The sequence below is a fragment of the Homo sapiens genome, chromosome 12, assembly GCF_000001405.40.
Source record: "Homo sapiens chromosome 12, GRCh38.p14 Primary Assembly".
Classification (NCBI taxonomy): Eukaryota; Metazoa; Chordata; class Mammalia; order Primates; family Hominidae; genus Homo; species Homo sapiens.
Window position 1 is genome coordinate 123834455 of NC_000012.12, and position 13417 is coordinate 123847871.

General features: G+C 44.4%; 1 protein-coding gene across 11 annotated transcripts in view; it reads left to right on the forward strand.

The window, feature by feature from the left end:
* The window catches only part of DNAH10 (dynein axonemal heavy chain 10), a 173420-nt gene that overhangs the window by 72154 nt on the left and 87849 nt on the right, over window positions 1–13417 (forward strand). For all 11 annotated transcript variants that reach the window (NM_001372106.1, XM_017018960.2, XM_011538016.3 and 8 more), the window contains 5 exons: window positions 952–1074; window positions 4002–4235; window positions 6868–7091; window positions 11146–11415; window positions 11517–11700. In NM_001372106.1, the coding sequence (NP_001359035.1) occupies window positions 952–1074; window positions 4002–4235; window positions 6868–7091; window positions 11146–11415; window positions 11517–11700 (1035 nt within the window). The remainder of the gene's footprint in view (window positions 1–951; window positions 1075–4001; window positions 4236–6867; window positions 7092–11145; window positions 11416–11516; window positions 11701–13417) is intronic.

The window sequence follows — 13417 nt, forward strand, 5'->3', positions numbered from 1 at the left end:
ACCTCGGGCTCCCAAAGTGTTGTGATTATAGGCATGAGCCACTGTGTTCAGTCAAAAAAAATTTTCTATTGAGGTAAAATTTAAATAACATAAAACTAGTGATTGTAAAGTGCACAATTCAGTGACATTTAGTACATTCACAGTGTTGTGCAACCACCACCTCTAATTCCAGATTTTCATCAAACCAAAAGACAAGCCAGTACCCCTTAAGCAGTCATTCCCTACCATCTCCTCCCCCAGCACCTGGCAACCTCCAGTCTGTTTTCTGTGTCAATGGATTTACCTATTTTGGATAATTCATATAAGCGGAATGACACAATATATGATCCTTTACGTCTGGCTTTTGTCACTTAGCGTGATGTTTTCCAGGTTCTTCCATGTTGTAGCATGTGTCAGTGCTTCCGTCCTTTTTATGGCCCAATAATATTAAATCATGTGGATTGATCACATGTTGTTTTTCTATCCATTGGCTGATAGACATTTGGGTTGTTTCCACCTTTTGGCTATTGTGAACAGTGCTGCCGTCAGCATTCATGTACAACTACTTGAGTCCCTGTTTTCAATTCTTTTGGGTCAATACCTAGGAGCGGAATTGCTGGGCACATGGTACTTGGCTCACTTTTTGAGTGTCTGGCATGGCCTGTCCTTCGCTGTTGTGGGTCACAGGCTTCACCCTCTTCTCATAACTAGAAGTTTTCCTACCTGTGCTGGGCTGCATGGAGAGCTTTCTTTTGCTTTTGAGTGTGGCCGTTAGTTATGCTTTCCCCAGCATTCCCATTCATTTGGAGTGGAGGGGAGCTGGCCATGCAGATGCTCACTCTGTCACCTTGCCTGGAAGGTCCTCCCACCTGAGTTGATTTGGTTCTGTCTCATGTCAGGATGGGGCTTTGCCATCCACTTTTGGAGGTATCTGATAACCCCTGCTGACACTGACCTTTTGTACATTTACAGATTTGGATGTTGGTTCAGAGAAAATGGATGTATCTTGAAAGTATTTTTATTGGTGGAGATATAAGATCACAACTTCCGGAAGAGGCAAAAAAGTTTGACAACATCGATAAAGTATTTAAAAGGGCAAGTGACTCGCTTCTATTTTAGTAATGAAAGAAGGGCAGCGATTTGAGATATTTGTACCTTTTTATTTGCACATTGTATTTTCTCCATTAGTAGCTTCTCTCTCATTTTTTAGAGACAGGGTTTTGCTCTGTTGCCCAGGCTGGAGTGCAGTGATGTGATCGTGGCTCCCTGTAGCCTTGAACTTATGGGCTAAAGAGATCCTCCTAACTCAGCCTCCCAAGCAGCTGGGACTACAGGCATGTGCTGCCATGCTCAGCTAATTAAAACATTTTTTATAGGGATAGGATCTTGCTATGTTGTCCAGGCTGGTCTCAAACTCCTAGCCTCAACTGACTCTCCCACATTGGCCTCCCAAAGCACTGGGATTACAGGAGTGGGTCACCTTGCCTGGCCCACTAGTAGCTTCTGAATTTTTCGTGTCATTATTTATGACCCTAATCTGTCTAGTAAAAATTCCCATTTGATTTTTAGCTGCTGGCATATGACACTGAATCTTTTTTACATTTATTATAAAAGCAATATTTGCTTGTTTAAAATATTTTGAAAGTGTAGAACAGTGGAAAAATGTATCTCTCATGGTTCTGTCACTTTAATGGGACCACTTTAACATGTCAATATATTCCTTTTATCTTTTTCCTATGTGTATAAGTTTAAAAAGCATAATTGTAATCATATTGTGTACAACTTTATATCATAATTTTCTCTTAATATTATGAGAAACAGTTCATATTAGGAAGTCATCTGAGAAAATAATTTCATGGCTCTCTATATTCCAGGGAGTGGGCTGACATTAGTTTAGTTGATTACTCTCCAGTAATTTGACATTTTGTTTGAACAGAGTTCTTTGCTTTCATAAATAATGTACAGGTTCTTGCCTAATGCTTTTTCCATAGTTAGAGTGAATGTCTTAAGATAGATTGTTAGAAAGCAAATTGCCCGTGAAAGGGTGTGTGTATTTTAAAGTCATTTCCAAAAAGGGTTGGACTGGTCATCACAGTGACTGTAGTTAGTGTGGCTGGGATTTTAACCCAGCTCTCCTGCTCTCAAAGCCCGGGTATTTTGCTACTTAGCTTTGCTGCTGTGTTCTTTAATTATAGGTGGCCAGTTCATGTTTTGATCTCTTTTATCCACTAGAGTTTATAACTGTTTCATATAATTGTTGCATAAGCTCTTTTTTTAAACTTAAAAGAATTGTACAACACATATCAGGCTGGACGGTGACTCACGCCTGTAATCCCAGGACTTTGGGAGGCCGAGGTGGGCGATCACTTGAAGTCAGGATTTCGAGACCAGCCTGGCCAATATGATGAAACTCTGTCTCTCTCTCTTTTTTTTTTTTGAGACAGAGTCTCGCTCTGTCGCCCAGGCTGGAGTGCAGTGGCACAATCTTGACTCTCTGTAAGCTCCACATCCTGGGTTCCGGCTGTTCTCCTGCCTCAGCCTCCGAGTAGCTGGGACTACAGGTGCCCAACACCACGCCCGGCTAATTTTTTGTATTTTTAGTAGAGACGGGGTTTCACCGTGTTAGCCAGGATGGTCTCAATCTCCTGACCTCATGATCTGCCCACCTTGGCCTCCAAAAGTGCTGGGATTACAGATGTGAGCCACTGTGCCCAGCCGGTGAAACTCCGTCTCTACTAAAAATACAAAAAAAAAAAAAAAATTAGCCAGGCATGGTGGTGCATGCCTGTAATCCCAGCTACTCGGGAGGCTGAGGTGGGAGGATCGCTTGAACCCAGGAGGTGAAGGTTGCAGTGAACTGAGATCGTGACACCACTCTAGCCTGGGTGACAGAGTGAGACTCTGTCTCAAAAAAAAAAGAAAAAAGAAAAAGAAGAATTATACAACAAATATCAATTCATTACAGAATACTTTAGAAATTACAAAAAGCCAAGAAAAAAAAGAAAGGAAGAAAAAAATACCTATAATCCCCTTGCCCAGGGTAACCATTTTAATAGTTGAGCATATATCTTTCCAGAACATTTATTCCTGCATAAACATACAAATAGATATAAATAAATAAATAACATTCTACAAAATATGATTGTTCTTTTTTTTTTTTAGAGACGAGGTCTTGCCTTGTTGCCCAAGCTGGAGTGCAGTGGTGTGATCATAGCTCACTGCAGCCTCCAACTCCTGGGCTCATATGATCCTCGCCTTGGCCTCCCAGGTAGCTGGGACTGCAGGTATGCACCACCACACCCGGCTAACTTAAAAAAAAAAAAATTTTTTTTTTTTTTTTTTAGTAGAGATGGAGTCTTGTTCTGTTGCCCAGTCTGGTCTCAAACTCCTGGTCTCAAACAATCCTCCTAATCCTCCTGTCTTAGTCTCCCAAAGCACTGGGATTACAGGCTTGAAAATAGAATCATTCTTACCAATGTCACTGGCTATTTTTATTGAACAGTTTGACCTATTTCAATAAATAAACATTGAAATTATCACTCACAGCAGATGATTGACCTGTTGCTGGACATTGAGGCTATTTCTTTCTTTTTCTGCTATGATGAAGAATGCTGCAGTGAATATTCTGTATATACAAATTGCTCACAGTGGAATTGCCAGCTTCCTTTACTCAGCAAGTGTTGAATGGGCGCCTACTGTGTGTAAGCACTTCTGTAGGGTGGGGTGGGGCTCATCAGTGAACAAAACAAAAAAATCCTTTCCCTGCGCAGCTGGCCTTCTTACGGGATAACGAAAAGAAAAACCAGAAACCAGTTAGTTACATGTAGTACATTAGAAGGTGCTAAGGATATGCATGTTTAAAAATGATAAATGGATCCCCTGAAAGCCAATGGCACTGGGCAGCTTGTCAGTTTTGTCTCGGCCGTGCCTGGGCTCTGGTGAGTGCCTGTTCTGGGCTCAAGAACAGTGTCTCCGCTCTCCCTGCTCACCCTGCTTGACGGCTGTCCTCTGTTCTGGTCCAGATCATGGGTGAGACCTTAAAAGACCCCGTGATCAAGAGGTGCTGTGAAGCCCCAAACCGCCTCAGTGACCTACAGAACGTCAGCGAGGGCCTGGAGAAATGCCAGAAAAGCCTCAACGACTACTTAGATTCGAAGAGAAATGCTTTCCCAAGGTTCTTCTTCATTTCTGACGATGAGTTGCTTAGCATTCTGGGGAGCAGCGACCCACTCTGCGTCCAGGAGCACATGATCAAGGTCAGCCCTCTGGGTGTGCAGGGGCTCCCCGTGTAAGCCTTAGAACCGCCTTCGGTCCTCCCTGGTTCCCTTTGCCATGAGGTTCAACCCAGAGGGTTAAGACTGAAATGCTGCTGGAGTTGGTTTTTTGGTTTGTTTTTTGAGACAGGGTCTGGCTCTGTTGCCCAGGCTGGAGCGCAGTGGTACAATCATGGCTCATTGCAGCCTCCACCTCCCCGACTCAAGTGATCTGCCACCTCAGCTGCCTGAGTGGCTGGGACCACAGGTGCACACCACCATGCCTGGCTAATTTTTATATATTTTTTGGAGAGATGAGGTCTCACTGTGTTACCTGGGCTGGTCTCTAACTCCTGAGCTCAAGCAATGCTCCCACCTCGGCCTCCCAAAGTGGGATTACAGGTGTGAGCCACCACACTCAGCCCTCGAGTTTTAATTTGAAGTGTAAGCCTGATGATATTCACTGAGTCTGAAATCACACCAGATTCAGCTATTTTTCCACAGTCCAAAACCTTTCTTTTTATAAACTAAAAAAAAAAAAAAAACAAAAAAACCAGAAATATATGAAGACTAATATATTAAATAGGGAGGCATTAGAGGATAGTGGTTTAGCACATGGACTCTAGAACCAGATTGCTGGGGTTCAAATCTTTGCTCTATTCTGAGTTTCTGTGTGATCTTCGGCAAGTTCCTTGATCTCTCTGGACATCAGTTTCCTCATCTGTGAATGGACATAACCCCAATGGTTACCTGTTTCAGTGGAGCTGTTGTAAAAATGAAATGAGTTACTATTTATAAAGTACTTTGAACAGTGCCTACCTTTCAATGTTGGCTAAATAACCCTCTCCACTACCCAGAATTGGCACTTGTTACCATTTAGTCATATTTGGTTTGTCTCTTTTTTTTGTAAAGTTGTACAAATTTGCAATACTTTTTGTCCCCATCCCCATTCATACTTCCTCTATTTTCTTTTCTATTTTTTTTTTTTTTTTTTGAGACAGAGTCTCACTCTGTCGCCCAGGCCGGAGTGCAGTGGCGCGATCTCCACTCACTGCAAGCTCCACCTCCCAGGTTCACGCCATTCTCCTGCCTCAGCCTCCCGAGTAGCTGGGACTACAGGCGCCAGCCACTGTCATGAATTTGTTATGATTCCTTCCAGACCACAATTTCACACTTTTTAAATAAATGTATATGTATCCATGAACCATTTCCTGAATGGCGGGAAACAACAGAGAACACTGTCCCTTGTGATAGAGAACAGAGGCTGGCCAGACATGATCTTTGGCCTGCTAATCAAAGCTCTTTATCTAGCGTCAGCCTGGGCAGGGGCTCTGAGCCTCGGCGCTGCTGGCATTTGGGGCTGGATGACTCTTTGCTGTGGCTGCTGTCCTGTGCATTACAGGACATTACGTAGCATCCCTGACCACAACCTACTAGATGCCAGTAGCACCCCCTCCCTAGTTATGACAACCAGAAACATCTCCAGACATTGCCAATGTCCCCTGGTGGCAAAATCATCCCCGGCTGAGAATGAGTGTTGCACGGTAATTCCTCCATTCCAAATTAACAGAGCACTTAGGAACGAGTGCTTTCTCCTATTACTTTCCCTTTAATCAATGCTAACTTCCTTCTTAAAGTAAGATTCATATTTTCGACTGCATATTTTTCCTTTCTCAAAGGGGAGGCTTCTTCAGTATTCTGTTTCCAGTTTTTTTTTTTTTTTTTTTTTTTTTTTTCAGACAGGGCGTTGCTTTGTTGCCCAGGTTGGAGTGCAGTGGTGTGATCACAGCTCATTGCAGCCTCTACCTCCTGGGCTCAAGCAATCCACCCGCCTCAGCCTCCCAAAGTGGTGGGATTACAGGCATGAGCTATTGTGCCTGGCCTTCTGCTTCCACTTTGTAAACACATATTTTACTGTTGTAGAAAAATACAGTGTTAGGAATACTTCATTTACTGTTCGCCTCTTTTGCAAACCTCTGTTTTTATTCTTTAAAGCCTGTTTGTTGCCTTCCTCTCCTCTCTGATTTGTGAGTGCCTTGTATATGGTGGGCCCTAAAGGACTCATTGTCCTAAATGTTATTCTGATTAATAACAATGATAATAGTCAACAAATGCCAAGTGTTTAACAACATGCCAGCATTTGACTCAGATTGTTTCATTTGATTCTCCCAAGCCCACCTTGTTAAGTGCCATGATTGTGTTTATTCCAGGCAGAGAGAGGAGGAGCAACTCACCCATAGTTGCGCAATTGGATAGTGGGGAATCTGGGATTCCATCACAGGTCTCTGTTCCCCAGCCTGGGGTGTTAATCACCCTTCCGCCTCCTCCACGTTCCACTGGCTCCTATGTCCAGATACCTCCCCACTCCAGCAGGGTTAGGGACAGAGTCTGCTTTTTCTTTCTCTTTTCAATCCTCCACAGATCTTTGCACAGTACAGAGTAAATGAAAATCCCCAATAAGTGTCTTTGGGATGACCACACAGGTGGGTGAACGACATCCATCTTGCCTGCGATCTCGGCTCACCGGTTGCCATTGCTTGCATCGTGGCAGCTCTGCTGGATGGAGCACCGCTGGCTGGTCTTTGATTCCAGAACTCCGTGCAGGTCTTACAGGGCTGCCTCTCCCTGTTTGCAGATGTACGACAACATAGCATCACTGAGGTTTAATGACGGCGATAGTGGAGAAAAACTGGTGTCCGCGATGATTTCAGCAGAAGGAGAAGTCATGGAGTTTCGGAAGATCTTGCGGGCTGAAGGGCGCGTGGAGGACTGGATGACGGCAGTTTTGAATGAGATGAGAAGAACTAATAGACTAATTACCAAAGAGGCTATTTTTAGATACTGTGAAGACAGAAGCAGGTAAGGCTGCGAATGTGGACATGCATTGCTCTATCCAATTCATAGTCATAATGGATTAATTTTAAAGGCTTGGAGTAGATTGGCTGACATTCCAAATGAGGTTTTGTTTTTTTGCAATAGGTCATTAGTGGACAGATAGATGTCTTTATTTTTATTTTTTTGAGACAGGATCTTGCTCTGTCACCCAGGCTGGAATACAGTGGTACAATGGCTCACTGCAGCCTTGACCTCCCTGGTTCAAGAGATTCTCCCACCTCAGTCTTCAGTGTAGCTGGGACTACAGTTGTGCACTACCATGCCTGGCTAATTTTGTACTTTTTTGTAGAGAGGGAGTCTCACTGTGTTGCCCAGGTTGGTCTCAAACTCCTGGGCTCAAGTGATCCTCCCACCTTGGCCTCCCAAAGTGCTGGGATTACAGGTGTGAGCCACTGAGCCCGGGCAGTCTTTAGCATATGTGCTGCCAAAGCGAGCACAAGATAGCAGTCTTTCAATGATCACCCGATGCAGTACTCTCAAAGTGTGCCCCCTGGTGGCAGCACAGGGCCCCTGGGATTGTTAGAAATGCTGATTCTTGGGTCTTACCCTGCACCTGCCCATCAGAACTCTGGGGGTGGGGCCTGAGGATTTGTGTTTTTGCAAGCTCTCAGGGGATTCCCAGCACCCTTAGCGTGTGAACCCCTGACTTAGTGAACCACCAGAAACTAGGCGTTTAGTGGGATTATGTGTATGTAACGTTGTTTCTAAAATATTTACTGAATTTCCAACATTCTTTGATTTTTGTGGCTAGAGAGGCTTCAGGATATCATGCTGAGCCCTGCCTGCTCCTAGCAGCTGAGTGCAGTCCAACTAGAAATACAGAAAGCCTCTTTGGCTAACTTATTCTATTAGATTAGACAGGATCCCCCGTAAAGTTGGAGAATATTTGGCAGGGCCTTCGTGCAGACATAGAATCTTTCTTGTTATTATGAGAACACCATTCTCTTGATTTTGTACACTGCCTTTTTGATTTTACAAAGTGAAAACATCTACTTAAAAATTATTAGCGAATAGCATAATATTTATTTGATTATGATCCTGCTGTTTCCGAGGTACTGAGGCATATCAAAAATTTGTTTGCATCTTTATGTGGATATGTTCAGTGGATAAACTGGTAAAACTGGATGTCTGGAAAAAATTTTTTTAAAGCTTTGATTTAAAGCAGTTGCCAATTTCCATGGTGCAAATATTCCTGCCATGGCTGATTTCAAAGCTAAATGAAATAAGTGGTTTAACAACCAGCTTGCAAAATTCCAGAATATTCGACAGTTAGTCTTGTGACAGGAGGTGGCCCTAGCATTCATTTAACTAATATTTCTTCAACCCCTGCTCTGGGCGATTTATTATGCTAGATGCTATTTCAAAACTGAACTAGACAGAAATCTCTGCCTTCTGTATGTATTAATCACTGAATGTTTTAAATTATCTTTTCTGCTCCAAAATACTGTGAAGTTTACACCAGCATCAGTTGATTTTATTTTCACGATAGCTACCACTTTGCTAGGGCATTGCTATGTTTGGTAGTGCTGAGTTGGTGGAAGAGAGTAAGGGAATGCAGCCTGATGGACTGAAAAAGATCTTTTTCTCATCCAGATGCTCCTTTGAGCACGTGAACTTGTTGCTTCCAACAGGGAGAATAGTTGACATGAGCATGTGGTTTTATTTGAGCTGATAGGTGTGGCATCACTGAGAAGTTAGGGCCAGCTGTATCTAGTCCCAGGAAGCACCTTTGCCCTGGTCATTTAATCTTCTCTGATCCTATGGCCTCAGCTGCCACCTCTCCGTTTCTGATTCTAGGTTTGTCGCGTCCTTTACAAGGCCCGTCTTTGTTCATCATTTCGGTGTCGTCCTCTGGGCCTTCGTAATCTTTGTTGTCTCTCTCCTGATGTGTAGGAATCATGGATATAAGTGATCTTTAGGTTTTCGCTGCACCACACAATTTTAAAATAAAACAACAAAGGTCAATGTTATTTTTATTGCTTTTCCTACTTATTTATTTATTTATTTATTTATTGAGACAGAGTCTCGCTCTGTCACCCAGGCTGGAGTGCAATGGCGCTATCTCGGCTTACTACAACCTCCGCCTTCCAGGTTCAAGCGATTCTCCTGCCTTAGACTTCTGAGTAGTTGGGATTACAGGTGCACATCACCACACCCGGCTAACTTTTGTATTTTTAGTAGAGACAGGGTTTCGCCATGTTGGCCAGGCTGGTCTCGAACTCCCGACCTCAGGTGATCTGCCGGCCTCGGCCTCCCAAAGCGCTGGGATTACAGGCGTGAGCCAAAGCATTCGGCCTCCTACTCTTTTAAATTTATTTTGCCATTAACTGTAGGTCATCAAGATAATGACTATAGTAATCCGCAGTCACTTTTCCAGTATTGGCATTGTATTACTGTGTTTTCACACTGCTATACAGAAATACTCAAGACTGGGTAATTTATAAAGAAAAAGGTTTAATTGACTCACAGTCACGCATGGCTGGGGAGGCCTCAGGAAACTTACAGTCATGGCGGAAGACAAAGGAAAAGCAAGTACCTTTTTCACAAGGTGGCGGGAAAGAGAGAGAGAGAAGGAGGAACTAACAACCACTTATAAAACCGTCAGATCTCATGAGAACTCACTCAGTATCACGAGAACAGCATGGGGAAACCGCCCCCATGATCCAGTCACCTCCCACCAGGTCCTTCCCTCAACACCTGGGGATTATGGGGATTACAATTTGAGACGAGACGTGGGTGGGGACACAGAGCCAAACCATATCAGGCATTTACAGCTCTGAGTCCATTATTTTTTAAGTGCAGTTTAGAAAAAAAGCTTTGTCTAAATGTGTCTCAAGGCAATCACAAGCTTTGTAAGTTAGTGCCTCTGGAGAGGACATCCAAGTGGCCAATAAACATGAAAAGAGGAGAAACCCCACGACTCAGCAGGATCTGTACATTAAGGGAGGATGAGATGTTTTGTTTCACTTTTCAGACTGGCAAAAATTCAAAAGCGTGTTACAACCTGGCCTGCAAACCTGGGCAGTGTGGTCAGAGATTATGAAATTCTTTGTTGGAATTTTAATTTTCTTTCTTGAGACAGGGTCTTGCTCTGTTGCCCTGGCCGGAGTACAGTGATGCGAGCTCGGCTCACTGAAGCCTTGAGTTCCTAGGTTCAAGCAATCCTCCCACCTCAGCCTCCTGAATAGCTGGGACCACAGGCATGTACCACCACATCTGGCTAATTTTTGTATTTTTGGTAGAGACAAGGTTTCGCTGTGTTGCCCAGGCTGGTCTCAAACTCCTGAGCTCAAGCAATCTGCCCCAGCTTGGCCTCCCATAATGCTGGGATTACAGGTGTGAGCCACCGTGCCCAGCCTGGAATATTGTTTTACTTCTTACATAAACCTCAAATACTAAGTAAGTTTGAAAACCTATAATCAAATATTTTATTTTATTTTATTTTTTAGAGACAGGGCCTTGCTCTGTCACTCAGGTTGGAGTACAGTGCACAATTGTAGTTGGCTGCGGCCTCCAACTCCTGGGCTCCAGCGCCCCTGGAGTAGCTGGGACTACAGGCATGCGTCATTATGCCTGGCTAGTTTTTAATTTATTTTTTGTAGAGATAGGGTTTTGCTATGTTGCCCAGGCTAGTCTTGAACTCCTGGCTTCAAGTGATCCTCTTCCTTGGCCTCCCAAAGTGTTGGGTTTACAGGCGTGAGCTACCACGACTGGCCCCAAACATTTAAAAAGTGATCTGGCATCTTTCTGTGCAGTCAGGTACCTGCAACATTTTTTGTGGAGAGAGGCACCCTCGGCCTGGAATTTTACTACCTAGTCGGAGATAGGTAACATCTTACTCTCACCTAAGTCTTACTCCTCTGACTTACTTAGGTAAACAAATACAGGCACTTGCTTACCTAAAACCTTTACTTTGCCCTCCCTATTCCAGATCAAAGAAATAAATTCCTGAAGGGACTGTTTTGGGTACCAGTCCCCGGATTGATCAGAGCCTCTTACAGGTGTGCGTTTTCTGCAGAGTCGACTGGATGCTCCTGTACCAGGGCATGGTGGTGCTGGCCGCTAGCCAGGTGTGGTGGACCTGGGAGGTGGAAGACGTCTTCCACAAAGCGCAAAAAGGGGAGAAGCAGGCCATGAAGAACTATGGCAGGAAAATGCACCGGCAGATCGATGAGTTGGTAACGCGCATCACCATGCCGCTAAGCAAAAACGACAGGAAAAAATACAACACTGTTCTCATCATTGATGTGCATGCCAGAGACATAGTTGATTCTTTCATAAGAGGCAGGTGAGCATTTTCCGGGGTCACTGGCATTTCAAAAGGGACCCTTTGTGGTCCGCTGATCTGTCTCAACGGTTTCCACTTCCTCCACCTTTCTTGCCGTCCAGTATCCTGGAGGCCCGAGAGTTTGACTGGGAAAGTCAGTTGCGGTTTTATTGGGACCGGGAGCCGGATGAGCTGAACATCCGCCAGTGCACGGGAACCTTTGGCTACGGCTACGAGTACATGGGCCTGAACGGCAGGCTGGTCATCACGCCCCTCACCGATCGGATTTACCTGACGCTCACCCAGGTGACTGCCAGCCTGGCACTTGTGGTTACCACTTACCTTGGGGCGGGGCATTTTCTCTAAGCTTGAGGTGTGATGACTGCAGTGATTGAAATAGCAGGGGAGATCATTGCTTTGAAATCTCGAAAAGCTTTTCCATTTGGGATGTGACCAGATTGTCACCATTTGGGATTGGCATGTAAGTGTGGCCGTGCTTAGCCACTGGTACACTGGTCCCTAGGTAATGGTGTGTCAGGGGTATTGGTAGAGGCCAATGCGAAAATGCAGGAATGTCAAAGGTGGTGACTGTTAGGGCAAGTGTGATGTGGTTTTGCACGTCTTGTGACAGCTTTTATTCCAGAATATATCCGTTCAAGTGAACGGCCTTGGATGATAGAGATAGTGTCTCCCTCCAGGACAGAGGGTAAACTTGTTTGTTGTACAGGAAATGAAGATAACACTTCCATCCAGGCAGAGCTTGGGAAGGTTTGCAAGCAACCCCCAAGACTGTTTGTCAGATGCTTGCTAGTTTTCTTTTTTTAAATTAGAGATGAGGTCTTGATATGTTGCCCAGGCTTGCCTTGAACTCCTGGCCTCAAGTGATCCTCCCACCTTGGCCTCCTGAGTAGCTAGGACTATAGCATTCACTGCTGCACCTGGCTACATTGGTGGTCTCTTAGGCTCACAGTTTCTCAGCTGTGACTCATACCCACTGTGGATGTGGCATGCACCTGGGCCCGTCTCCACATCACACCATGGGATTTGGGGGGACAAGGATAAAGGGAATGAGTGAGAACAGGAAGCCCCTGCTGCCTCCTGTGCTGTGAGTGATAAAGTCCTTTGTTTTTGAGAAAAAGAGTGTCATCTTATCTGTATTGGTTAGGGTTCCACAGAGAAATAGAACCAATAGGACATAGCTAGCTAGCTGGATGGCTGTCTGTCTGTCTGTGTATCTATCTATCTATCTAATCTATCTATCTTATCCATCCATCCGTGCATCCATCCATCTACATATCCATCCATCCATCCATCCATCCATCCATCCATCCATCCATCCATCCATGTATCTATCCATCCATCCATCCTATTATCTATCTATCTATCTATCTATCTATCTATCTATCTATCTATCTATCCATCCATCCATCCTGTCTATTTATCATCTCGATCATCTATTTTATCTATCTATCTATCTATCTATCTATCTATCTATCTATCTATCTGGATATTTAGGAGGAGATTTATTATGAGGTATTGACTCATGTGATGATAGGGTCTGATTACTCTCACAATCTGCCATCTGCAAGCTGGAGGACCAGGAAGGCCAGTAGCATTTGAAGTTCTGACAGTGAGAGAGCCAATAGTGTAGACTCGTGTCTGGGTCTGAGGGCCTGAGAACCCGAAGTGCCAAGGGTAGAAGCCCAGTGCCCTGGCTCAGTCAGTCAGGCAGCACCAGTGTAACCTCCCTCCATCCTTCTGTTCTGTTCAGTCTTCAATGGATTAGATGATCAGGCAGCACCAATGTAACCTCCCTCCATCCTTCTGTTCTGTTCAGTCTTTAATGGATTAGATGAGGCCCACCCACTTTGGGGAGGGTCATCTGCTTTTCTCAAATGCTAATCTCTTCCTGAAACACACTCATGGACACTCCCAGAAATAATGTTTAGCCAGCTACCTGGGCATCCTGTGGCCCAGTCAAGTTGACACATGAAAGCAAACACCACATTCTTTCTCTATTCTG